The following is a 27,751-nucleotide window of genomic DNA, read 5'->3' on the forward strand; positions in this document are numbered from 1 at the left end:
TAAATAAAATGTATGTAGAGCAGCTTGGAGCCATGTTTTAAAATGTTCCATGTTATTTTAGTTCAAGGACAAGCTTTTAAAATTTAAAAAAACCTTTGGCTTTAATGATAGATTAAAAGTGAAAGTTGTTTTAAAGGAATGTCATTGAGTCCCATTGTTAGAGAAAGCGCTTGACATTTTTTAAAATTAATTATTCTCTTAAAGTAACAATCTTCATTAATACAAGGTGATCAAAAACAGAGTATGTACTCCCTCATCAAGACAACATTTTTGTGGTTTCGAAACTATGGTAGTCACAGTTTGCCCACTTAGTATTATATTTTCCAGTGATTTCAGTTATATTTTACAACCAGGATGCAATATTTTAATAGCCGTTACTGCCGACACAATGACAGACTCAACCAAAGGAAGCTGATATTTCTGGTTAACATGAAATGTAAGAAAAACTCAGTATCTTAGAACCTAAACTTATGAAACAGAAGTTGACTTATGCTGTACATATAACAAAACGATTTATGGCAAGATTAGTTTAAAACACCAAGTGTCTGCTCTGTCCTTAAACCTTGATTAGATGTAAACCTTTTGTTTTTGGAATGTATCTATTCTGAAAATCAAGGTGCAACTTTATTTTCTGTGGATTTACAGAGTGATGTGAAGTAAAGGGTGTAAGTCGAATCTACAGGCAGGGGCAGTGACTGAGGGCCTGGACCCTAGACCCCAGGCAGGGTCTCTCTTCCTTTCCTGCCTTTGGCATTCTGAGGCCACTCAGATCTTTAGGCCATAGGAAGGAACTTGACTGCAGTCTTGTTTTCTTAACAGACTTGCTGTCCCTTTCAAAGGAGCAGCTCTCCCCACTAATAAGGAGCCTGTAACCCTTGTTCCATGCAATTGCTGTACTTTCCTTTATCATAGTTTTGGCCTCCATGGCTCTCAGGAGAATTGCTGCAGGCAGACGCTTGCTTTGCCCTGGACACTGTGTTATGTTGCTGGAGTCCCTCTCCTCTCTACAGAGATGTTCAGTGTTCTCTCCTGGGATTCTAAGACCAAAATGCCACCGGCCTGTGCTACAGAGAAGGCTTGGTCCTAATGGCATTCTCTCCAGCCTCAAATGCTCACAGTGGCACTCCGGGAGAAAGGATCTGAAGTAAGACGAAGGAGGGATGAAATAAATTTTAGACTGAAAGTTGTTACTGAAGATGAGGGTGCTACGTGGCTGATCCTAATCTTCTAGAATGAGGAAAGGATTAGGATGGCCTGGAGAAGCCAAGGACTCTCCCTGCAAACTCTCTCACACTGTTAATCCCCTCAGAGATTTAGAAATTCTGCCTTCAAAATACCCTGTGGGAAATGAGGATAATAAGGTACCTACTTCATGGGGTATTATGAGGCTTGAGTAAGAAAATACATGTAGGGCACTTAGTGCAGTGCCTGGCACAGGGATCCCTAGCTATTTTTGTCATTATTATGCCCTGGTATAAGCTATTTTGATGGTGCTCCTTTCATACTTTACTGACGTCAGCTGCCTGAGATGAGAGCCTGCCATTCTCGATTGACAGATGGAAAACCACTTACTCCAGAAGATCGAAGGGCAGACAGAGGACCTATGGGATGGGCTGGGGGCTGGGCATAGCATAAAGACATAGGTTGCTCTGGGCATAGTGGGAAAAAAAGGTAGAGGAAGACATAAAAGCAGGTCTAAGGATCTCTCAAAAATAAACTGCCATCTTTTCCCAGGATTGGGAAAAAGTAAAAGATAGTGCTGAAGAAGGTTTTAGAGTCAAACAGATATGAATTCGAATCATGGTTCTGCAACATCTCAGCTTATATGGGCACATTCTGCTATTTAAGTCTGTTCCCTCATCCTTAAAATAAGGATAGTAATATGTACATCACAGAGTTATTGTAAGGACTAACTAAAATAATACATGCAAGTGTAGCACATAGCACAATGCCAGGCACATAGGAAATGCTTGATAAATAGCAGCCATTATTATGTGTGATAAACATTCATCATGCCATGGGGAATAATCTAGCCAGCTACCTTAGAAGCACATTGTCAGGCTACTAGGGAGGCTGAGGTGGGAGGATCACCTAAGCCCGGGAGGATGAGGCTGCAGTCAGTCATGATCATGCCACTGCACTTCAGCCTGGGTGACAGAGTCAGACTCTGTCTCAAAAAAAAAAAAGCAAAAAAAAAAAAAAGCACACTGTCAATTGCCTGATGCTGGCCTGCATGTGAAAATGCCTACTTTATGTTATGAGATAAAATACAAGTAACCTTAAGGAAAGCAAGATTGACTGAATGGATAAAGAGAACACGTGTTTTCTGTGCTCATATGTAAATAATTATGTAAATTTCAACTAACTTACTTAGACAGGATTTGATTACTCCATTTATAGATTAGCCATACCAAAAGCATTTAAAGCGGTACATTTTTTTGTACTTTATAAGCTCACACTCATCATAATGTTAATTGTCTAAACATTTGTGGTTGTACGGGCCAAACCTTACCCAAATCCCGCTGCCACATGATCTATGCTGGGGTAGGAAGAATTTTGCCCTCATGACTTTTCAACCTGGTATTACATCTGTGAATATGTTACGTTCCATGTTAAAAGGAACTATACAGATGTAATTAAGATGATCAATCAGTTGACCTTAAATAGGAAGATTATCTGGATGGGCTTGAGGTAATTACATGAACCCTTAAATGCAGAGCTTTTTCCTGGGGGAAGGCAGGGGGAGAAGTCAGAGAGGTTCAAGCCTGAGAAAGACTCAACATGTGGGTGTTGGTTTGAAAGTGCCAGGAGGCCACAAGGAAGGGAGTTGGGCAGCCTCTAGAAATTGAGAGGCAAGGAAATGTGGGTCTCAGTCCTATAGCCACAGGGAAATGAGCTGTGTCATTGGCCTGGATAAGCTTGTACGTGGGTTCTCTCTTAGAGCCCAGAATGACACCTTGATGTCATCCTGGTGAGACCCTGAGCAGAGAACCTAGCTATGCCATGCCAGACTTCCGACTTCCAGAACTTTGGGCTCATAAATGGGTGCTGTTTAAAGCTACAAAATTTGTGATGATTTGTTATGCAGCAAGAGAAAACTAATACATATGCATTAAAAACTGTTCTCTGATTTATAACTGTAGTCATCAGTTTTCAACTTGACATTGTTAATGAATTCAGAAACCACATACTACATTCCTGACTGCTGCATGCAAGCTGTCTGTTCCTGGCCATGTAGGTACCATGATCTCAGGCTGGACGTCTGGCATTTCTCTTGCCCTTCTTAGCTGCAGAGGTTTCACTTAATATGTTCGTAGAATATGTGTGTGGAGATGACATTGCCCATCAGCATCTCCAACAGGATATACAGAAACATTGGAAAAGAAAACCCTTCAAATTCCCCTATTCCCAGGGAAAGCCTGGTGGAGGAGTATGCTGCAATTGTTAGCTAGAAATTAGGTCTGGATATTTGCTGTTTATGATTTTTGCCCAGTGGCGAGATCAACTAGTGATAACATGTAAAACTCGACCTCATCAGCGTGATTTTAGCACCTTAAAGGATGAACCAGAGAACTAGCTCTATAATTCAGGGAAAGACCCATGCAGCATAACAGGGACTGCCTAACACAATGATGATAAGTGCCCTGCAAACAAAGGACTCTAGAAATATTAGTTACTCCACTGAAAGCTTGCTGCTCTTGGAAAGATCTTGGGAACAGTGGCTTATTTTAAATTCGTTACTGTGTAAGCATCATAGTTTCCTCCTGGTGACAGATGAACAATCAACCTTATTCCTGAAGGAAGAAAGAAAACTCACAGAAAAATATTCTGTGGTCAGTTCACCACTGCTCAGGGACATAGAAGTATGGTGAAATACTCAGTCATCTCATTCACAGTCAAACAAACCAACGAAGAATCTAAAGCGCTAAGCAAAGACAATACACTGTATTATTACTAAGAAGAAGAAGAAGAAAAAGAAGAAATAATAATGAAGGTATTAGAGGAAAGCAAAACTATTTTGACATTTTCACAATAAGCCAAATATGCAAATTTAAATATGTACTTTATTGATATGTTTTCAAAATATGATAATCTTTTCCCTCCCATGGTTTTGTTTTATTTTGATGTATAATTTTAGTCAATTACATTTGTAGCGCTAGCGAAAATTATTAAAATAACCCAAGTACAAAAGGGTAAAAAAGCAATATGAAGCATATGATATTTAATTTTCCATTAATCAATAATTTTGCTTGAAGGAAATATTGGCAAGAAGGAGTGGAATTCTTAGCTCCTTGTTTTTACTTTAAAAAATCCCAGGAGTCCTCACTCAAAGAACCTAAGTTTTCCACTGGAAAGACAAAAAGAAAAGTCAGGTCTAGTGTGCTACAAGCTTAACGACATAGTAAAATAGTATCCACTTGGACTCCAGTCACATTTCAAAAGTACAGTACAGATTAGGTGCACAACTGCCAAGTAATAATATATCATATTATTATAATTATGGCTTTTTTTATTTAACTAAATTATATTTATCTCTTTATTCAAGCACCATAGTTCAGGAAGTCTTACCTATCACAATGCATCATGTTTTTGTACATGAAACCTACCAGGAATGTTGCAACAATTCCCACTGCTCCATTGTGTGCACAGTTACTCTGTATTTATTATTCGTTGATATTCAGAATCTATGCTTAACTTTGAATGTGTGCAAATTCTCCATAAAAACTCTCAGAAGTAAGGAAAACATCTTTTACCATAAAATCATTTGCTAAAAGTCTGTGTTATAGAATTACCCTTTAAGAGGGGGTACTGAATAAGCTTTATTAATTTCTCTCTCGAAATCTCATTAAATTGCAAAATGTAAATTTGAAAACAAATACATGCTTAATGGGGCTCAAAAACAATAAAAGGTACCATTGCCAAGTCAGAAAAGTTGAGAAATTCATGGAAAGGAAAATACATATGGCATCAAGTTGGTGGGGAAATCCAAACTGGGAACCACAACTCAAAACAGGTGGAGGGCAAGACCGTGGAGAGTGTGAGCTGCTTCTCCCAACAGGGCACAGATGTTCCAAGTGCACAGTTCACAAAGAATAAGTAGCCTACCAGGGGAATCAAGAAAATTATCAGTTACGAGACAGCTGTCAGAAGAGCTAGGGCATACCTCTTCTTCCTCTCTGAGTCCACAGAGAGCTTTCTGGGTCATCTAACCGCAGCATAAAGCTGCTACAAATGCTCTTTAAATAGGTTAGGGGACCTGTCTAAGGGGGGTTCCTAGAAAAGGCTTTAAGGCCATTAAGAGGTACAGAGTAGAGATTCTAGTAACTTCTGATCTCTACAGGGATCATAGCTGCTATGACAAAGTAGTGATAAGAAAAAAAAGATGTTCTTGGAGAATAAAAATAAGACACCAAACTTAAAAGAAAAACTGCAGTAGGAAAATTGATTTATAGGGCCAGGCATGTTGGCTCCCATCTGTCAATCTCAGAACTTTGGAAGACCAAGGTAGCAGGACTGCTTGAGGCCATGAGTTTGAGAGCAGCCTGGGCAACATAGTAAGACTCCCATCTCAACAAAAAAAATTTTAAAATTAGCTGGGCATGGTGGCACATGCCTGTAATCCCAGCTACTCTCGAGGCCCAAGGTAGGAGGATTGTTTGAGCCCAGGAGTTTGAGGCTGATGTGAGCTATGATTGTGCCACTGCACTCCAGCCTGGGCAACAGAGTCTCAAAAAAAAAAAAAAAAAGAGAGAGAGAGAGAAAAAGTTGATTAAAGTATGAATGGGGGAAAAGTTAAAGACCAAATTATTAATAATAATCTAGAAGATAAAGCTAAAACTGTTCAGAAAATGGAGGAGAAAGATGAGAAACATAAGAGGAAAAGTAGAGAACCAAGGAATCTCAGGCTAAGATCCTTTCACAAGTGAATTCTTTTAAACTTTCAAGGCATCAGGAAGAGTTAATGCTAACTTTATTTAAAATTTCCTAGCATAGAAAAAGATAAAATACATTCCAGCTCATTCAATAAGCCTAACATAACTCTAATACTAAAACTGTGCAAGGAGACCATTAGGAAAAAAAAAAAGAAAGCTAAAGACAAATCTCAGTTAAGAATTTTGATGCAAAATTATTAAATAATGTTAATAAAGTGAATCCAGAAATATATTAAAAGAATATTATATTGATATGGAATAAAAACTTTCCCAAGAATTCAAGGATGATTAAGCATTAGGAAATGTACTACTGTAAATAACTTAAATAGATTAAAAGAGGACAACTAGATGACAATCTTAAAAACTATAGATACAGCAGTTTGTTGTAAATGCAATGACCTATTCAGTTAAGTGTGTGGTTGGGGAGATATCTTATTAAATAATCTAGGAATGGAAAGAGAATGCCTTAACTCAATAAAGTGATTACACCAGAAACCTTCTGCAAACATTATACTCTATGGTAAAATATGAGACAAATTCTCATTAATGTGTGTTATTACTGCTGTGAGTCAATGATGTTTTGTAGGACCTGGCCAACATGATGCAATAAATGGAGAGAGGAAGGAAGGGAAAGAGAAGGAGAGTAAATACACAAAACTTACTATCTGAAGATGAGATACTTGTGTACTTGAACAATGGAACTAGATATAAGAAAAATATACAAAATGCAACAGCTTTCCCGTATATCCATTATAGCTATTATTGAAAAGAACTCATCTGCAATAGAAACAATAAGAACAACAAATAAAAATCCAGAAATTAACCTAATGAGAAATATCCCAACCCTACGTAAGGAAAACTGTAAAAACTAAAAAGATGACCAGAATAAATGGAGAAATCTGCCATGCCCTCAGTGGGAAGATTTGATATAAATATCATGGACAAAAATATTCTCCAAACTAACATTTAAAGTCAATGAAATCCCAAATTAACTTCTAACAAGAGTTTTTAAAATAGAATTATCAAACTTAAAGTTCTACTAGAACAATAAATTCAAGGACCTAGATGAGAATATTTTGAAAAAAAAAAATGGAAGTAGACATACCCTGTCATACATCAAAATGGACAATAAAACTACACTCATGAAAATGGTACGCTATTCTGTTCACAATAGGAAACACATGGAACCAACCCAAATGCCCATCAATGATAGACTGGATAAAGGAAATGTGGTACATATACACCATGGAATACTATGCACCCATAAAAAGAAATGCGATAATGTCCTTTGCAGGGACACGCATGGAGCTGGAAGCCATTAGCCTTGGCAAACTAATGCAGGAACAGAAAACCAAACACAGCATGTTCTCTCTTATAAGTGGGAGCTGAATAATGAGAACATGTGGACATAGGGAGGGTAACAACACACACTAGGGCCTGTCATGGGGAGATCAAGGGGAGGGAAAGCATCAGGAAAAATAGCTAAAGCATGTTGGGCTTAATACCTAGGTGAGGGGTTGACAGGTGCAGCAAACCACCACGGCACACGTTAACCTATGTAACAAATCTTCACATCCTGCACATGTATCCCAGAACTTAAAATAAAAAGGAAATCAAATGTCATGCTATTAATATATGTTTAAGTTTGATAGAATACAATAGAGTCCAGAAATAGGCATACATATAAAGGAAGTCAGTATATAATGGGGGTAGTATTTCAAATCAATAAGGAAAGGTAGAAATATTCAGTAAAATGTGTTGGGACAATTGGCTGTTCATTTGGTGGAGAAAAAAGTAGTCTGATCATGATCTCATATAATTTACAAAAATAAATTGTAGGTAGATTATAAGTATATAACATGTACTTAAAATAATAAAAATGTCAGAAAATATACTTCTGATAAAAATTATCAGAAAAGTTAAAATATAGCATACTTCTATAATCTTGGGAGAGATCTCCTAAAAATGACACACGACATAAGGCAAGCATTGCCAGATGTAAACACGTGACATCTACCCTCTTGGCCTCCTACCCCATGGTCAGAGCCCAACACCCCCACTGGGCAGAGTCCTTTACCTGTCACCAGGGAGGTTTACTGGTGCCATGCTCCCCAATGCTCCTTTGCAATGTCCCTGTCTTGTGGCTCAGAGCCCAAGTTCTGTTCTAATAGAGACATTGCGGTGTGCATTTAGCTATGACTTTCTATAAACTGTGGGCTTCCTTGTCTCTCTGTGCATTGCACAGAATTGCATGCTGTCAGAGATGTAAGGTACTTATGGATTATCTTGTCATACATCTTCGTTTTACAGCTAAAGGAACGAAAGCCATGATTAATAAAGGGACTTGCCTTAAAACACACACCCAGTTGCTAACAGATCTGGCCAATACACAGAGCTGCTGATTTCTAAGGCATTGCTCTCTGCTCTGTCCACATTATAGCTTCCTGTGGTCTCATCTACAAGTGGATAATTTCGTGTAGGTAAGGAGGTTGGTTGGAGAGAAAACTGGGGCCCTACAAAGTCATTTTCCAAATCACAGTTGAAGGAGTGGGGACTTTACTATAATCAAAATATACATTTGATGTGTATTCCTTCAACCCAGCCTCTACCCAGACCTTTATGCTGTCATTTTAATGAAAGCATCTGAGAGACAACGTGAGGTCAAACATAGCACAGATGGGTCATATGCCTCTACGGTTCTTCTCTGAGCTTCCTGTGAGCATTTCACTGAGTCTGTGTGTGTTAGGGGGTGGGGATTAGAATGGAATTTAAGGGTTGGTAATATGTCGTGAAATCATAAAGTTGAGCTTTTTTATATTTTCCTAATGAGAGGAAAGTTATTGTAACTATAAACTAAATTTTACTGCTTCAATCATAGTAACCATGAAATAGTCCTCGCACACCTTTCAAGATAGTTGAGAATTACTATTCCAGATGATTTATGCTTATACTTTTCCAAGCACATTTTAAGAAAAAAATATACATACAAAATTTTCTGAAAGAAAAAAGTACACAGTTGAAAGAAAAAAAGTGCACAGTTAGATAAGCTAGAGTCCCCATGGGTTGCTGCATAAATATGAATTAGTGCCATATTTCTAAAAAGGTCTAAAATAAATGAACCCAGGAGACACCGTCAAAACTAAAACAAGACCAGTTGCACTAGTGACAAGGTTATGAAGAAACTCCTTGACCCATCTGGATAGATTTAGCAGCTCAGAAGAGAATTCTAGGAGAAGAAAATATGGCAAGATCAGATGCAACCAGAACAACAATAAGAAAAAAATGGAAAACAATCATATCACTCAATCTTGGTTGCAAATTAGCAAAGGCTGTGTGGATTCCAACAGCCAGCCACAATATTGCAACCATCCAGCTTCCTGCTAGGCTCAGGCATCACAGCAAAGACACTTGGCACCAAATAGCTTCTGGCTAGGAATTTTATGTTTAGAAATGTAAGCCCCAGTAACATTTAAGGAATTCTCTCCCTTGCCAGATAGCCATCCTCTTGCTCTGAAGCCATGTGACATACCACTTTGCCTTTTTGTGCATCTGTTGTCTACATCAGTGTAGAAACTGGGAGGAGAGACTCTGAATTTTGGCCCTTAGCAAAAGGGTACATTTTAGTATCATGACTGTCTTGGCAGAACAGGGCATTCTTACTTGAAATGTCTCTGCCATACTGGGAGATTTGTTCACCATCACCTGAGACTGGCTCAGCTGAAAGGACTATCAGTTCTTAATACACAGGCAACTATGTGAAAACTTAAGGAGCAAGCTGTTTCTTGGAAATATCACTTTATGAATGGTTGTCTCTGACCACCTTTCAGCATTTTAAAAGGTTTCATTTTCATTTGAGTTCTGTTTTTCCATTTTAATTTTGTATTACTAAAATATTCCTCTCTAAATCACATTGTAAAAAATGTTCTCTTTATTTAAATGAAAACTGATCAAAATTTTCATTTAAAACAAAAACAACACACACACAAAAAAATAAAATTGTGTGTATGTGTGTGTAATAGGACCAAAAAGTGAACACAGTGTGTAAAAGATGTACATCTTCATCACTGTGTCAAAGATACTCAAAAGTACTGAAGTCAGTGGGCAAGTGGCAGTTTTTACCCCTATCTGCAGTCCAGCAGTTCCGGAAGACATGAAAAAAGTGCTTAAGAGAATCATGGCCACTGCTAAGGTGCTGCCCAAAACCATGAGCCTGTGAAGTCTAAACTTCAACTTTGCTTTGTTTGGTTGTGTGACCTGAGCAAATGCTAAAAGTGAATTTCACCCTGTAGCACCTCCTACTGGGCTTGGAAAAACAGTTACTGACTCACTTTGGGGAAGACTCCAAACTGTTAAAATTAGAGTGGTGTTGCTGCTTCAAACTGAGACTAATCTATCTCCTCAAAACCACTTTCAAACTGGGTTGTCATCCCTCAAATTGTTTCTGGCCACTTCCTGGTAATAACTTCAATGTCTCCAGTGTTATGTACAAGGCAGAGGGGAGATGCCACCGATCGTCTTCAAAAGCGACCTTGTTTTTCCAACTATGTTCGATTTCTATTACTGCTACTACTACCTACACACACACACACACACACACACACACACACACACCCCGCAGAAACCTTTGGCCACCAGTATTAATGGTGTGGGATCTTCTGCAAACCATTTCTATTTCCCATAATAACCAAAGATGATCCGTAGGTACTGTATGGCTATTACAACCCACAATTTATAATATCAACTTGTGTAAAAACCTTTCCACTCTAGCTATTAAAAGAGAGAAACTTTTAGAAATGCACACACACATACTCCAAGTTCTCAAAAGTTCAACACTAATGATTTAAGTATTTTTTAAGTAAAAGTCATTTAAGTACCTGAAGCTGCCAAAAACCGTTAGACTTACTGTACAAAGGATCAGGATCACATCTCCAAGCAACAGAGAAACTCATAGCCAAAAGTGAACATTTTCAGGGACTTGTATAGAGGTTAAAGCAATTTCCTAACCTGAAAAATAAGGGATTGATCTGGAAGATCCTTTAAAAGCTGATTGCTGGATTTACAAAAATCCCTGTCTATTTACTTCTTTAGTACAATGAAACAGAGAAATTGGGTAACGGAAGCTGTCAAAGAGGAAAGAGAGAAAAAGTTCATTACGCAGCTGTTATTTAAACACACCACCCTTCATTTAAACTGAAAACTGAGAAAAATATTCAAATTTTGTGAAGGAAATTGGGCAAAGTGAACACATTTATTATTATATTTTTTCACTTCCTCAAAACTCACAATTATAAATGATATCATTTATAATGGAAAACAAGAAACCAGGCTTCCAAAATTAAAAGTACCAAAACTCTGGACTGGAAGAAAGCACATATTTACCCTGTGTAAAAATTCTGTTACATCAACAAGACAAATTTTAACACAGAAAAATACCTTCTTAATTTTAGAAACAAAGTAGGGAGGCAGAAAGGAAAAAACTAACTGCAACTAACAAAAAAAAAAAAGAAGGGAGAAAAGAAACCACTTCCATATTCATTAATTAGAATGTCTTGTTATTTTCATAGACAGTAAAAACTTCTTGAAATTCTTTTTAATCTTAGGCCACAGAAGCATCAATGGATCATATTTGGTCTCGTCAGTGTATAAAGCATTTACAAACCTAACTAAATATAGAATTAATGGGAGTTACGTGCTTATATTCCTTATACATAGGAGAAGAAAGAAAAGGACCCCTTTATGCCAGCTTTGAGTTTGGCTTGATTTTTTACGACTTATTTAGAAGCCCTAGGGAATGAGAAAGTCTCTTAATGGAAATACTGACACAGTCTTAAATATAGTGACATGAACAAGCACTTCTGTGAAGCTGCCCCGGGATGTGACTGACCACTGAAGCAAGTCTGAAATGCATTGAGTATCAGAAAGTCAATTATGATCAATTTGCTGATAAATATCAGTAGAACCATAATGCCAAAATACAGAGAATGCCTTTGTAAGATCAAAACTTAACGTTGGTAAACTTGTTCTTAACAGGAAAATATCAGAAATGTATGGGATCTTTGCTCTTGCACATGGAGGAGAGAGAAAGTATAAAATTTCTGTATGGACTTTCTCCTATTCTCATATGCAGCTAAAAATAGTCATTCTTAAAAAGTCACAACTTTGACTTAGGGTTCTTGTCAACCCTGACAGTAAAGGTGGCATGCCGCAGGGTTTAAATGAGTGGGTTTAGATCTGTGCTTTATTTCTTAAGTCTCACCTCCAAAGTAGTAGTATGCTACTAGGTAAACAATAAATCCCATTACTTAGTGAAGTCAAATTTGTAAAAGCTCCATTTGTTTTTATTTGTCTATCGGCTGTGCTTTTTATTCTTTGGTGGATTTTTTTTAAACTCTCTAAATTTTTCCATTTTTCATCCTTGCATTTCTCTGGAAGTCACTCCTTTACTTGAAAATCGATTTAGTTTCATTTTACTCTTTCTATGTTTTTCTTTTGACTCTCTTAAACATTTCATTGTTTTCAGCTTCATTGTTTAATTTTTTTTTTTTTACTTTACATTTTTCCTCTTTTTAAAACTTTTTTTAAACCAATTCAAACTTATTCAGGACCCTTCCTCTTGTTCTGTTCACAGACACAGATCAACATATACTTAAGTAAATTTAAATGTTTTTTATGATTTAAGGAGCAGACACACTAAATCATCAAAACACGAATTCATTCACTGAAGAAACATTTATAGAGTAAATACGTGAAAGACACGGTAATAAGCACTAGGGGAATTATAAAAATTAATACAGCACCATTTCAGGGCCTCCAGGAACTTTTAATATATATATACAAGGCAGTGAGAGCCAGTACCAAATGAAAGAGATAGGATGCGACTGCATTTCGGAAAACAATTTGCCCACATTCAGCCAAATATGAAATCAGTGTTGCTACATTTTTTAGGTACCACAACATAAAAGGACAAAAATGTCAGAAGCAAACACAACCCTAAAATATCTGTACAGTTTCTAGGCTAAACTGCCTCATACTTTCGATTTGTTTATAAGCTATATAGTATGATAGTGCGAGTCTCAGCATCTATCTACACGTAGGATTTTTCGGGCTCTCACGTGATACCAAATAACAGAGAAAAGTGAATGGAAAGCCACCCCTGAAGGAGCCAGCACACAGCTCATGTTGCCAATATTTCTTTTTTCTTTTCTTGTCTTCCATTAATCTCTCAGTTCTTCACAATGGGTGAAACCCTGGTACAATTGCATTTGAATTTTTGCAAGTGAAGCCAGAAAGAAATGTAATTTTCAAACATCAAATTAATTTGAACTTCAGAAAGAATCCATGTCAATGTGTTTTGCTACAATCATCACTCATAAATGTTTACTAAGAATCTATGGTATTCCGAATAGTGCTTAAGTTTTTATAATTCTATAGCAATCCCATGCATATTCAAAGGGTCAGCATTTGTATAAATCTCATTTTAAAAGATTCTGCTTAGAAATAAGTAATTAGAAAAGTTCTCTTTTAAAAAGGCTGTCAGGAAGACAAGGCTCTTTATTCAAAGGAGTGAGGGGCAAGTTTCCGATTGTGATTAACCCTGAGGTTACTGATTTGAAAGGGTGGAACAGTATATAAGAAATACAAGGAAGAGGACATTTAGAGAATAGAAAGATTATTAAAGTACCTCTCCAAAGCTGTGCTGAATAGTGTAAGTTTAGAAGAGAAGAAAATTCTCTATTTTTTAAATTGGTCCTTAGATTTCTGCTATCTGGAAACTGGACTTATGTGAAATACCTCATTCCCAGATGGCCTTTGTTAGGTAAGGTACAAGACAAGGAATTGGACAACCTTTCAAATATCCTTTAAATGTCACTCGCTGGACTGGTGATAGAGGCTTTTATTATTCTCTGCTGGAGTACATCAACAGTCATTTGCATGCCAGGAAAAGAATGTCTGGAATAATCCAAAAAAGGCAAAGCTTAATTCTTTCACTAAAACCAAGAAAGTGACAGCACAGAAAGGGAAATAAAATAAGAAAATAAGTATCCGAGGTAGACTTACTGGTCAACAAAAGCCCAAAAGAGAAACCGTGCGTGTGCACCGAGGCACTCACACAGGGCCCTTAACACAGATGGCTCTTGATGCCGCCGTAAGACTTTTTTAAGCTACCCCCCAAAACGAAAGCTGAAATGAAGGAAACAGATATTGTCAGGGGGAATATTCACTGCTCAAAAAGATCTGCCAAGGCATCTTTTTAAACCTTTCTTCTGGTTCGTTTAAATATGGTTTCATGGATAGAGTGACCAGCACCAAACACAGGGCTCCAGTGAGTCTAAGCCAGAGCTTTCATGGAGTGGCTCTTAATTGTCATTTTTGCATGTGGAATGAATGCACATAGGAGCAGCACCTCATATACCAATGGACTGTGTCCCAGAAGCTTGTTACATTGGTTGTTTAGAACAGAATACCTTTCTCCAAAGAAACTATGTCATAAATTAAGCTTGAAGCCCACGCAGATCCAATGGTTTATTGAACTCATGAGCATATCTAGATTTTACTACTGATACCAGCTTAAATTTTAAGGCACACAGTGTGCAGGAAGAGAGAGAAAAAGAAAAAAGAACATTTTCTCCCCTGAGGGTCATTATGAGCCAAGAAAAATGGTTTGGAGATGGCAGTTGGACTTGTTATCCTCCCAAACTTTCTACATCCTTGTTCCTCTTTCCCCAGTAACCAAAATGGCTTGTTCTCTCGTTTTGTTCCATGTCTCCAACCGCAGCAGGACATCCAAATGGATACTACCTCCCAGAGTGTCCCATGCACCAATAAACGACTTCTTTTTTCTCTCAATCAAAATCTTCATTTCTTCCCAGGGATATTCACCTCCATCAAGCAGATGGGAAGTTAGCCCGATTAATTCATACTAACATAGAAAACACTCCTATCTGCCTAGATGCTTTGCTTTATACCAGATGTGTCTAATTAAGAGGGATTTTAGAGAGTGTAACAAAATGAAGTTTAAACATTCAAACTCTTGGGAGCAGGATAAATTTATAAAGTATATGCTGACAGAGCCATGGGGCTCATAGAGCAACCATTCTAATGCACTAGGCCTTTTTTTTTTTTTTTTTTTGAGACAGAGTCTCATTCTATTGCCCAGACTGGAGTGCAGTGGCATGATCTCGTGATCTCGGCTCAGTGCAACCTCCACCACCTCCCAGGTTCAAGTGATCCCCCTGCCTCTCTCCCCGTAGTAGCTGGGATCACAGGCGCGCTCCACCATGCCTAGTTAATTTTTTTTTATTTTTGGTAGAGATGGGGTTTCACTGTATTGACTAGACTGGTCTCGAACTCCTGACCTCTGATGATCCACTGGCCTCGGCTTCCCAAAGTGCTGGGATTACAGGCATGAGCCACCGCTCCTGGCCTGCACTAGGCCTTTATAAACTGATCATCTGTGATCTGTGAAAGGGAAAAATGCAACAAGGGCTTGTCCTCAAGTCGAGCAAAACAAGAGGGGAACTCCACAGGTTTTATTTCAAGACTTGCCTGATTTACTCTTTCTTAGAATCCTCTTTCCTCCTTCAGTAGAGAAAGAAATTCCATAGGCTTGGTTCTGAGGGTAAAGTCAAAGTCTAATTCAAGTTAGAAAAGGTTCCAGTGAGAACCCACTCTGTAAGGCGGCAAAAACGGTTCCATCTGGAGAATCTGAGCCCTGGTTCAACAGGAATGGAGGTGGATATTACACCGGGGGTCCTTATCCTGGCACCACAGAGAGCAGAGAGAGCAGACCACCTGGGGGCTAGAGGCTTGGACATCAGTTTGTAAGGAAATTCACTCAGTCAAACATCTGAAAATTACCATTCGCTAAGCTCACATGATAAAAACAAATTATAATTTTAATTTAGATGACTTAATTCAACAGATGACACTGAGTGACTAAATTTCCTTTGAGTATTAATTACATTTAGATGCAATGACCTTAATAACTCTGATCAATTGCAATGGTAAAATTACTGCTGTCAAAAATGTTTCAACCCATTTGTAGTGAGAGCCTGCTATGACCCTGGCATGAAGCCAAAGACTGTGGATTACAGAGAAATAATGTCTATGTAAAATCAATAAAAATATGTTTGCATTTGCTTTGATGTTTCTAGTAATATCTTCAATTAGGATTACTACTTTATAATCTACAAGATTCTGCCCCCTAGAATTTAATAAAAATAAGTGAAGTAAAATTCAGTGATACATTATCCTTTCTCACACCAACTTTCAACTGGCTTTTTTTTTTTTTTTTGAGACACAATTTCACTCTGTCACCCAGGCTGGAGTGCAGTGGTACAATCTCGGCTCACTGCAACCTCTGCCTCCTGGGTTCAAGCGATTCTCGTACCTCAGCCTCCCGAGTAGCTGGGATTAGAGGCGCCTCCCACCACGCTCAGCTAATTTTTGTATTATTAGTGGAGACGGTGTTTCACCATATTGGCCAGGCTGGTCTCGAACTCCTAATTTCAGGTGATCTGCCTGCCTCGGCCTCCCAAAGTGCAGGGATTACAGGTGTGAGTCACCATGCCCGGCCTCAATTGGCTATTTGATTCCATATATTTAATAAAACTCATCACAAGACAGCTACTCTAACAAAAATGGATGAATAATTGGATAAAGTTCCTTGGCAGCCGGGCGCGGTGGCTCACGCCTGTAATCCCAGCACTTTGGGAGGCTGAGCCTGGCAGATCACTAGGTCAGGAGATCGAGACCATCCTGGCTAACACGGTGAAACCCCGTCTCTACTAAAAATACAAAAAATTAGCCCAATGTGGTGGCACGCACCTGTAATCCCAACTACTCAGGAGGCTGAGGCAGGAGAATTGCTTGAACTTGGGAGGTGGAGGTTGCAGTGAACCGAGATCGTGCCACTGCACTCCAGCCTGAGCGACAGAGCAAGACTCCATCTCAAAAAAAAAAAAAAAAAGGAAAAAAGAAAAGTTCCTCAGCAATAAATTGTAACAAAAACAAATAAATTGTAAAGTGTTCTTTTAAAAAATTTGAAAGTTCAAAATCTTTGTACTACTGTAGCACTGGGGGAGGGGGTGTTAATACAGACTTAGAAAATTTCTATTTAGGTGAGGAAAGAAAGATATAACCAGATGGAATTGAAAGAATTCAGAAGAAGGTTATATGCCAGAGAAAACCATAGCAGTTGCTCAGAAAGTATTTCTTGAAATCCCCTGTTTTACTATTTATACATGCCTGGTAACCCAGCTACGATTGCAGCAACACTGTCACTCAATTCCCACCAAAGACAGCCATTGATTGTTTTGACCTGAAACCTAGCAGATCAGTCTTAGGCCACCAGCCTTTCTTAATTCTCCAACCATAAAAACAAATCATTTAGTCTGCCCTTTTTAAGTTGGTGCACACGCATGTAAAACCAGAAGTTTACATGTCTAGGTTGCTTTCTCATTGCTTGCATAACTAAAAAAAAAAAATAGGCTTTTATTTAAAAATAGAATTTGGCAAATGAATAGTCCATACTATGGACCAAGTGCCTTTGGAATGCTTTAATAAAAACAAGCCACCGAGATATTTAACTTTGAAAAGAATCAACTCTACAGGCATGCTATTCACTCTGGCTTTATATTTTGTCACTTTTGAAAAGAACATGCATTTTCAGAAGACTCACCACACTGGGAAAATTGCGTAGGCATCTAATCTATGTTTTTACCAGGCAATGTTAAAAATTTTATAAGAAAAATATTTTAAAATAAAAGATTACCAATTACTCTGTCTCATTAAAATTAATGTATTTGTCATTTTTTTTTATTTGCCTATGCACATTTGTACTGTCATAACTGTATTATAGTGTTTCCACAATTTTGAATTGTTTTTCAATATTACATTATAAATATTTCTCAAGTATTTTCATAGTATCAGTATTATAAAGAAAGATCTTGACTTTTATGCAGTCTTAATCTGATTTGAGAGTAGGATAACGTTTACATTTTTTTTAAAATTGATACTTTTTATATGTTCCAGAAAAATGTATAAAACACGAGCATTAATTACTTCTTCAAAGTTTGAAAAGAAATGGATGTATTAAGTCATGTGTTTTGGGAATTGGATTGACTAAAAATCTTAATTTTTCCCTAGTTATTGGCCATTTAAAACTTTTCTTGTTTATGAACTTTTAATTTGTGTGGAGAATGCCAATTTATTTAAATACACATTTACATATAGTATATTGCCAAACAACTGTGCATAGTACTTCATCATAATTTTTTAAAACCTTTTTTGTTTAATAACTGTTTATTGATTGTTGTTTCTTTCCTTTGTAATTTCCAATTTTAATTTGCGTCGATTTTTGCTTGTTTAATTTATTATTGTTTTAAAAGAGTCAACTCTTATTTATTTTTCAGCTTCCCATTTGACCTTTTTTTATTTTATTTTATTTTTCAATTATCTGTTTGAACAATGTGATTTCTTTCCCTGTCTCTAAAAATAAACATTCATAAAACTCTGAATTACTTTCAAGCTCTTCTCTGGTCACAACAGTCAGATGTTAATATGTAGTGTCTTCATTTTCTTTTGCAACAGGGTCTCCCTCTGTTCCTCAGGCTGGTGTGCAGTGGCATGATCACGGCTCACTGCAGCCTTGATCTCCTGGGCTCAAGCGGTCCTCCCACCTCAGCCTCCCAAGTAGATGGGACTGCAGGTATGCACCACCATGCATGGGTAATTAAAAAAAAAATTTGTAGCAATGGGGGTCTCACCATATTGCCCAGGCTTGTCTCAAACTCCTGGGTTCAAGGAATCCTCTTGCCTCTGCCTCCCAAAGTGTTGGGATTACAGTTGTGAGCCACCTTGCCCAGCTTCATTTTCATTATTGGCCAAATTTTCTTTTATTTTTTCTTCTTCCTAGACCCAATTATTATTTACAAGACAATTTCTGTAATTTTGAGTGTTTGGAGTTTGTTTTTATTGTTGGAGTTGGTGATGCAAAGAGAAAATGAGGTTGATTTAAGTCTTTAGAAATGTATTGATATTTTCTCTGAATCTTTGTAGATCATTTGTCTCATATATATTTGTAAACGTTTGAAAATCAGATTGCTGGTGAAATGATCTAAAGGGTACATTAACAGAGCAACTTTAGATTTCTTAATAAAGCCCTACTGTTCATGGACCAAGCTTCTTGATATTATGAAGAAAAGATGTAGTAAAATGTGTATAGTTTATATCATAGGGCCTAGTATACCATAACTACTCTATACATGATTGGTAGTAGTAGGGATAATAATAGTGATTATAGTAGTGATGTTCTTCCTATCTCTTGTGCAGATTCAGAGATCTGGAGGAGAGTACCTACTATGTGTTCTTGGTCTGGGTTTTCTTATCTGTGATGTAATGTGCCTGGTCTAGATGTTTTCTGAGGTTATTTCCAGCTCTAATATTCTAAATCTCATTTGCTGACATTTTCAGGACCCAGACTCTGTCTACACCAGATGTTGGTCATGCATATTCCTTGTTCCAAAGTCACCTCATACACTTCTTAAGAGCAAACCTCTCTGGGAACTGAAGTCAAGATAGAAATTTTTACCAAACCTACTACTCCATCTGAAAGTTTTGGACAGGTAGGAATCGATCCTTTATTTCTGGAAGGAAAGTAAAATTTTAAAAGCTATTTTTCATCCCTGCTTATGCTTTTCAGGAATGAGAGTAAAATTTCCAGAGCAATGGAAGCCAGACCTATACCTTTCTTTCACAAAAGCTTGACACCCTATTAATTTGTTTTCATTTACCATCACTATTTAGCAATCAAAGCATTTAACAGAAAAGATAAAATACAAAGTATTTGCAGGACTGGCCACAATCCGGCACTATCCTCTATTATAAATTATTCATAAAAGCCAGTATACACCCCCCTAAACATTGTTATTCTGAAGATTAAAATTATTATAAAGAATGAAAATTCTTCCATCTTGAGTTAATTTTTGTATAAAAACAAAATGAAAATATTAAAAAATTAAAATTAAAAAATATAAAAAGAATAAAACTTCCTGTCTTTAATATGAAAACTGAAAATTTCTCAGTAAGACCATAATCTACTAACAAATGTATCCATTGGCAATTCTAAACAAAACGAAAGCTTTAAAACTGAATTATGGGCAATATGTGAATAATCTGATGTCTTTATACCTGTTAAAATAAATCCCTCTGATGCAGTTTTAATTGTGCTTTAAACAGGTATCGCAGGAATTACTACAGAAAGCACGGACTTACCTGTGCGATAGACAAAGTTGCCTTCAGTTTCTGATGACGATGGAGACACTAATTCTTCCTCAAATTCATTGGAGCTAAAAGATCCCGAGTGGTTTCTTTGCCTTGTTTTTCCCATCATGGTAGTGTTCGTGGCCATGACATGTCTCAAAGAGTCATTAAGGTAACGGTTCAACAAGCTGCTCTTGTATTTGGGGGGTGCCACGTAGTCCTCACTGGCCCGTGACTCTGGCCTCACTCCCGCTTTGATGACCGAATTCTCACTTTTAATCACAGGATGGTGAACTGGGGTATTATAGCCCCCTTCGTTCATGTGGGTTCTTGGAGGATTTTCTCCATCTAAAGTGGAACAGTATCACTAAGTAGGGTGGTATGCATACTTTCCCCCAGCCACCCAACTCTTATATTTAATCCTTAAAAATATATAAAGGAAATATATTTAAAGTATATAAAATTATCTTTGATAGTCAAGATCAATTTTTAGGCAATGAAAGCAAATATTTATGTCATCTCTCGCTTATGGTATTTTAATTTTAATGAATTTCACTGAATATGTTATTCTGACACATGGTATATCTATAAACAAGAGGAAATGGCCATCATTCCTTTGGTCATTTATAGTATTATAAAAATGAAGTTACTTCATGCAATAAAAAAGAACCGTTAAGGCACCATCATATTTTGTGAGAGCAACCTTAAAAATAGCAATTATGGTGAACTTGCTAATAGAGGCAAAACAAAGAAAGCAAAATAAAAATATTAACAAACCTTCAGAACATGAGTCATCACTGCTTACGCTAAGCCGTTCAGCATTGCCTTGAACATACTTGTTGTATAACTTTATTCTCAAAGCCCAGCTTAAATCTGGCTGTCGAACGGTATTCTTAAGCCGACGTCTTGCATTAGCAAACCAATTTGACACCTAAAACAGTATTATTTTTCAATTAACAAAACTTAAAAACATTATCCATGGTGCGATTATTTTCTCATAAAGGAGCTAAGCCTCTCTCAGCACCTCTGATCATTAAATATTCTCAGGACATAAGAATACCGGACATTCGCATCCATTCATTCATTTGACAAACATGTTGCTTACTACAGACACTGAGCATTTAGTGTATTTGTGGAATAAGGAAAAATGAAAAGGCCTTGACATCAAAAAATTTAATAAGAGAAAAGTCCAGTAAGAGAAGTAGGAGGGTATACAAATAACTAGTATAAGAAAGAATGTGATGAATGGCATACAAGACATTAAAATGATACGAGTCCAAAGGAAAGAGGGGTTACTTTCATATATGACTCCAGCCTTTTTGAGGAAGTTAAGTGAGCCTTTGAAGAAAGTCCAGAATAGGTCAGGTCAAGAGGGAAGGGAAGTGCATTCCCAATAAAGAGGACACAGGAACAAATAGAAGTGAAATTCCACAGAAATTGTAGGGGTTGAAGAAGAGGGAAGAGTTAAAGATGACCTTGAGTCATCAAACCTGTGGAACCAAGAGAAGGGTAGTGCATTTGGGGAAGGAGATGAAACTTTCTGAGGATAAAATGATGTGTTTGGCTTGGGCAATGTCTAGTTTGAGGTGCTAATACTGGTGACATGTCTGGTAAGAAAATAAAAGTGGTATCTGAGATTGAAGGGAGGGGATGAGCAAATTCAAGAGGAAAAGGCACAGAGGTAATAGTCAAAGTTGCAAGAGTAGAGAGAGTGAAAGCAGGGTCAAGGGCCAAGCTTTGGAAACCATTAGAGATGAAAAAAGTGGGATCTGTTCGCTTCCAAAAGAGGCGTTAGCAAAACAGAGGTAGAACCATGGGTGAAGAGGGGGAAAATAAACCAAAGAACTCCTCACTTTAAGCCAAAAGTCAAATGTTTCTTAGACAAATAGGTGAAGGCAAAGAAAGAAATATGTCAAGACAAAGAAAAGCTACTTCCATTCTTTTTTTTTTAAAGATGTTACTGGATTTGATACTTGAAATTTCTTCTAAAATACCAGGTTATCATCAGTGCATAGATTTTTAGAAACTCAAAAGGGCAATACTTGCCTTTAAAAGAATGAAACATGGGAAGAGAATTAAATCTTTCTGCCAGTTTGGTCCAGAACATGACCAAACTGAGGAATTTAAGCTAGGCTTTGAAGAAAGGCCAGATTACTATAATGGTTTGTGTGGCAATGTTTGCACTGGAAATTTCTACTTTTTTTTTTCTAGATTTATACTATAAATACACATTTTTTGTGCATTACTCAAGTCCTTATTATTCTACTTAAAAAAAAATCTCAAATTATACTTTTTCTCCCTGTCCTCATGGGTAAACACACGGTGGGTTTCCCATATGTATTTAATATTCAATATAGTTAATATTGTCTTCTTTGTACCTGAAGCAATGATAGTTATCCTTTCAAATTTATATGCAATGACATATTATCTCACTGTGGCATTTCAGAAGTCAGTCTTCACCAATGCTTCTTCCTGCTAAGCTATGTTACTATTACTAAGATTCAGTCTGACTTCAAATTCTCAGTCCTTCCCATTCTCTACAGACAGACAACAAAATTATTGAGTGACTATTGTACTTTAGCCATGGTGTTAAGTCCTAGGAATGAATAAGCTTTGTCTTCTGCACTCCCAGAAGGACTAGCGGAAAAGAACTACACATAATTAACTGGGATACACTGGTGAACATTAGCTGTGGAAGCACAAGGAGCCTGATCCCTTTCTTCATGAAATTTCTCAAACTCCCTTGGATTCTTCAACTCACTGCCAAAATCTTCATCCGACTACTTTATCCAGCCATACTACTAGCTGGGAATTTGAAAACATTTCTCTTTCTAACTTCCCTGTCTTCCATTCTGTTCTCTTAAATGGATCTTAGCAAGTATCATCAAATTCAAGAATTGATGCACCATTTTGATTTAGTCACTTCACTTCTTCAAATCCTCATAAATGTCCTGTTATCCCATAATCACCATACAGTGGAAGAGGGCCTGGCTTCCTGTTCTGAATTTGCCAAAAACATGCTGTGTGAATTTGGATAAATTATTCAACTTTTCTGAACTTTGAATCCTTCATCTCTAAAATGGATTTGATGGTTCCTAATATCCTTGCTAGCTCTAAAAATTAAGATGGGTGAATACATCCCAAGTTCCCCTACAGCAATGTTAATTTCCTTTATACTAGGTACTAACCTCCCTCTGTTGACCAGTACTGTCTCCAGCAAGAGTGTTTTTGTCCTTCTTTGCTCCTTTCACACACAGAGTACAGCCTGCAACTTCCCCTAGATCATTCATATTTACTAGAATCCAACTCCAAAACATTTTTGTAACTTTCTTTACTCAATGGGATATAATTCAGACTAACCTTAAATCTTAACTAACCTTAAATCTTCACACAGCAACCACACATAGTACAGTGTAAAATCCAATTCTTATGAAACTCTTCTTATAATGAAAATGCAATGGCCTTCTAATTTTTTAAAAAAGTAATACACTACCCTTCTAACAGATAAAAATGGGGGAACATTTAAATGATTTAAATGTCACAGGGGATTAACTAACTTTTCATGTATAGGAGTCATATCTCTTTTAAGTTTTATATACTCATAGTCTTTTTTTTAACCATATTATAATAGTTACACATTAGGTGATTTTCCAGAAAGGTTTGCTGATGTCTATTATAGACTGTTTCAAAACTGATTTCATAAATTGACCACCACCCAATCTGGTAATATATATATTCTGCTGGGGTTTTTTGTTCTTTTGTTTTTTCAGTACAACTTAACAGCTAGATACACTCCAAGGTCTTTAATGTGTATTTGCAGTAGGTCCTGCAAACAGCAAATAGTTAGTTAACAAATTTGCATATACTTGTTTTGCATTTCTTTCTGGATGAATTAATGCAAATTCCATCTGTTTCACTGAAGGTAAAAATATCGGTTCAAATTTTCCACTTTTAATCTACTATGGATTCCTTCGGGTTGTCGTTCATATTCTCTTCAAATTGTATTTTACATGAAACAGGTCTCCTTAACCAAGGATAGGTTCTGGAACAGAATTTTAATGTCAAACTGAATGCTATATGTGTATATACGTATAGATGTTTGGGCCTCTAAGCTTTCACTATAAAATATGGGAGATAGTTAGATATGACTAATTTATATAATTATGATTTATATCAGTATCTATCTATCTATCTCCCATATTTTATAGTGAAAGATTAGAAGGCCAAACATCTAGAAGCTGGGAGGGAAAACTAAATAATATTCATCCTACTTTAACAAAGGTGTTTACATTCATCATGTTGACAGAGCAATTGTTATAGTACACCCAAAGGGATAAACTGGCATCTGTCCATGTTTGAACACACTGAATTAACGAACTTCTGAGCTATTCAACTGAAATATTGAGCACTTCATTTCCACACCATGTAATATAACACTTGGAATAATGAATAAGGACTGATCTGAGATTTTGTTGAATATTTAACGTTACTATAAGCCTTGTAGCTGATAATGGCATATATATATCAGCAGGCACACTCAATACCAAGCAAAAACAGAGTTATGTCAACAGAGGAGACAGAATCTAGGAACATAGCAGTTTTAACAAATCGTATGTGGACATATCACAGGAATATGAGACTTTCATTATTAGAGGAGGAAGCATTAACATCTACTCATTACTCCTTGATAAGTTCCATATCCTGCAATAATACAAACCCCAATCACATACCATTTTATACTATTCCACAATAAAGCTGTTTATATTTTGAGAGTACAGAGTGTATTTCTATAGCATTTGAACAATGATCAGCCATAGGATCAGCCATAAGATCCGTTGGTAATTCTATACATTTTTATTTTTTCCATTTATCACTTTAAAGTTTCAGAAACTAGCTTCATTAATAATAAAATTTGAAATCATTATACAGTTGTCATTTATTATTATAAAAATTATCTTACCCCACTTAAAATTACATATTTCTGTGCATTTTTATTTTCTGAGCACTAGTGTAAGAGAAAAAAAGTGTTTTGAATGAAAATTTCATGTAAAGCATATTTTAAAAATGTAATAGCCTTACCAAGATCTAAATGTAAAAAGCATTTTTATTTGTATTTGAACTATCATTACAGGTGGCAAATAATTTAAAATTATAACTACTTGTATTGCAGCTCAACAAAAACCACTACATAAGAAAGTTTAAATGGCTCTCCTAATGACAAATGCTACTTCATAATTTAAAAATGTCCTAAAATATGTCATCAATGTTCTTTTGTTTTCTGTATGAAAGAATAGTCTCTATTAAATATGAAGCTCTATAATCAGCCAAAATAACCTAGTGTTTCATTGCTGACATCACTGTGAAATATTCAGATAACTCTATAAATTAGTGTATTTTAAAAATAAGTAGCATACTTATTTAAACTGAAATTTTAACATAGGTTATTTATTTTCATAAGTCAGGTTTTTCTGACTGGAATAATTTATTTCAAAACTACTTTGGTACATTGCTAAAAGATTCATAGTTTTATGTTAAACAGATATTAAGCCAAGAACACTAAATTAATTTTCCCCTCCACTGCTGCAGCAAATCACTATTAATACCATTGCCTGATAATATGAAAGAAAACAGATGTTTTTGTATATAATTATATTCTGAAAATAAGCAGAAATTACGTATTCTAGTATTGATAGCCTGACAATAAGTCAACTTTCATGCCTTGTCAAACTTTCCAGTAATTCCTAAAGGGAAATTTTAAATACTCTGGAAAGCAATCTTTATTTTATCCACTAGTTCCTTTTTCCTTTTTGGAGTTCCTGCTTACTGTAAATTTAGCGGAATGGCCAAATTTTCACAATCAGGTAATGCTACCGCAATGTGCAAAACTTTTCACCTGATGTAGCCCCTCCTCCTCTTCTTTCTGAATAAATTTGCCTATTTGCATGTAAAAAAGTTCAAGCCACCGTATTTATTTTAAAAAATTGTGACATGACGGGAAGAGCATTTGGTCTGGAATTATTTATTTCCAGGCCTGTCTTTTACTGACACAACTGCCCCAAGTCTTGATTATGTCAAGTGTAAAATTCTGATAGTAACTGCCTACAACATCGTGGTTTTGTGAACAGTAAGATTCAGTTTTGAAAAGCTAGTCAAATGTAAAGTAACGTTGTTCACCAGAGAACACACAAACTTTGCACCATTTCTCTACACTTGGCAAAGTAACCCAACCATCTGAAATCTGCCTCCTCTCCTTAAGCCCAGCAGAAAAGCATCAGGAGCAAAATGCTGTGGATTGCAGCTAATGTTTAGGATGCTTCCTATTAAAAAATAATAATAAATAAGTGTGTGTGGGGGGTTGTTGATCCAAACATCATTTCTTGTCTTTCTATCCCCTACTCCTAGCTGTCAGTAATGGTAATTTTGAAAGTTACTCTGTACCTGAGCTTTAATACTGGGCCTTAATATGGAGCGTCACACTGCGTGGTTCTCAAAGTGGGGTTCCTCCCTAGCCTCTGCTTCAGTAACACCTGGGGCCTTGTAAGAGATGCAAATGATGGTCTCACCCCAGACCTGCTGAATCCGAAACTCGGAGGTGGGGCCTAGCGATTCGTGTTTTAAGCTCTCCAGGCGATTCTGATGCTCACTAATGTTGAACCTTCTCGTAAGTCTGCAGTTTACTTTTCACTTCCCTACCTGACAGCGCATCCTGCATTCTTTCCTGCACGGAGCATCTGCACTGAACTGAGGGATGAGGGTGAGAGGTAATTCAGAAACTCCCACAGCTCGGCTCCATCCCTCTCCAGGTAGAAGCGCCACGTGGAGAGCCACACGAACTCTAAGCGTTCCCGCTCTTCAGCCCCTCGCGGGAAAACGGATCAGGGTGTTAATGGGTCCTGATTACCTGCACTAGCGTCATCTGCGAGCCGAGGGCCAAGAGTATCTTCTCGGTCTTGGTGGGGTACGGGTTGTCACGGTGCTTGTAAAGCCACTGCTTGAGGGGTCGCGCCATGTCTTGCAGGGCCTGCCGCTTGTGCCTCACCTTCCCGCCATTCTGCCGGGCGCTGGGACATGGGGAGAGGAGGCGGCCCTGGTGAGCGACGCGTTTGCCCGCCCGGACGCTCCACGCCCCGGCCAAGCCCGGGCCCCGCATCCAAACTGCGCATTCCTGCCTTGCGCCCCTGCTTTGCGCGCGCCCAGAGTGTTTGGGAGAGGCAGGAAGTGGGAGCCACACAGTTTCTGGATGGGGAGATCATTTCGATAGGTTTATCTTGAATAGGGGGATACCTTGAACCCAATACCCCAAGGTTAGAGGTTTAGAAGACGAAGGTCAAGTGATTTGAAGAATACTGCTATTCCAGTCGCGTATCTGGGCAGCGGGGCTAACTGCTACCCTTCCCTCACCCGCTGGCGCCGCACCCTCGAGTGGCCCTGGCCTGGCAGGCCTGGCAGGGTATGCGGCTGGCTCTCGAAACTTCCCTCGGGGATCTCTTGTCTGCTCCCAGAGGCTTTCCGTCGCTTGTGGTCAGGGGAAAGGTCGCCGACTGGACATAGGGAAT

The 27,751-nt window shown here is 37.4% G+C and overlaps 1 protein-coding gene across 9 annotated transcripts in view, besides 1 other annotated feature; it reads right to left on the bottom strand.

Annotated features, from left to right (window-relative positions):
* MKX (mohawk homeobox) overlaps positions 1-27,751 on the bottom strand; it is a 72,946-nt gene that overhangs the window by 41,375 nt on the left and 3,820 nt on the right. For 7 of the 9 annotated variants that reach the window (NM_001242702.2, XM_017016108.2, NM_173576.3 and 4 more), the window contains exons 3-5: positions 27,097-27,256; positions 20,973-21,126; positions 20,208-20,543 (exon numbers count right to left, since the gene is read on the bottom strand). In NM_001242702.2, the coding sequence (NP_001229631.1) occupies positions 20,208-20,543; positions 20,973-21,126; positions 27,097-27,256 (650 nt within the window). Of the gene's footprint in view, positions 1-4,044; positions 4,349-20,207; positions 20,544-20,972; positions 21,127-27,096; positions 27,257-27,751 lie in introns of those variants that run through there. The other 2 variants (XM_017016107.2, XM_047425118.1) reach the window with 1 other exon arrangement.
* Positions 19,855-21,054: an enhancer, noted in NCBI's record as "CDK7 strongly-dependent group 2 enhancer chr10:28023032-28024231 (GRCh37/hg19 assembly coordinates)". NCBI's record gives its function as "activates an origin of replication core promoter dependent on BRD2, BRD4, P300/CBP, MED14 and CDK7 cofactors, with strong dependence on CDK7, by STARR-seq in HCT116 cells {active_cell/tissue: HCT116}" and the evidence as "EXISTENCE:reporter gene assay evidence [ECO:0000049][PMID:35650434]".

The sequence above is a fragment of the Homo sapiens genome, chromosome 10, assembly GCF_000001405.40.
Source record: "Homo sapiens chromosome 10, GRCh38.p14 Primary Assembly".
Classification (NCBI taxonomy): domain Eukaryota; kingdom Metazoa; phylum Chordata; class Mammalia; order Primates; family Hominidae; genus Homo; species Homo sapiens.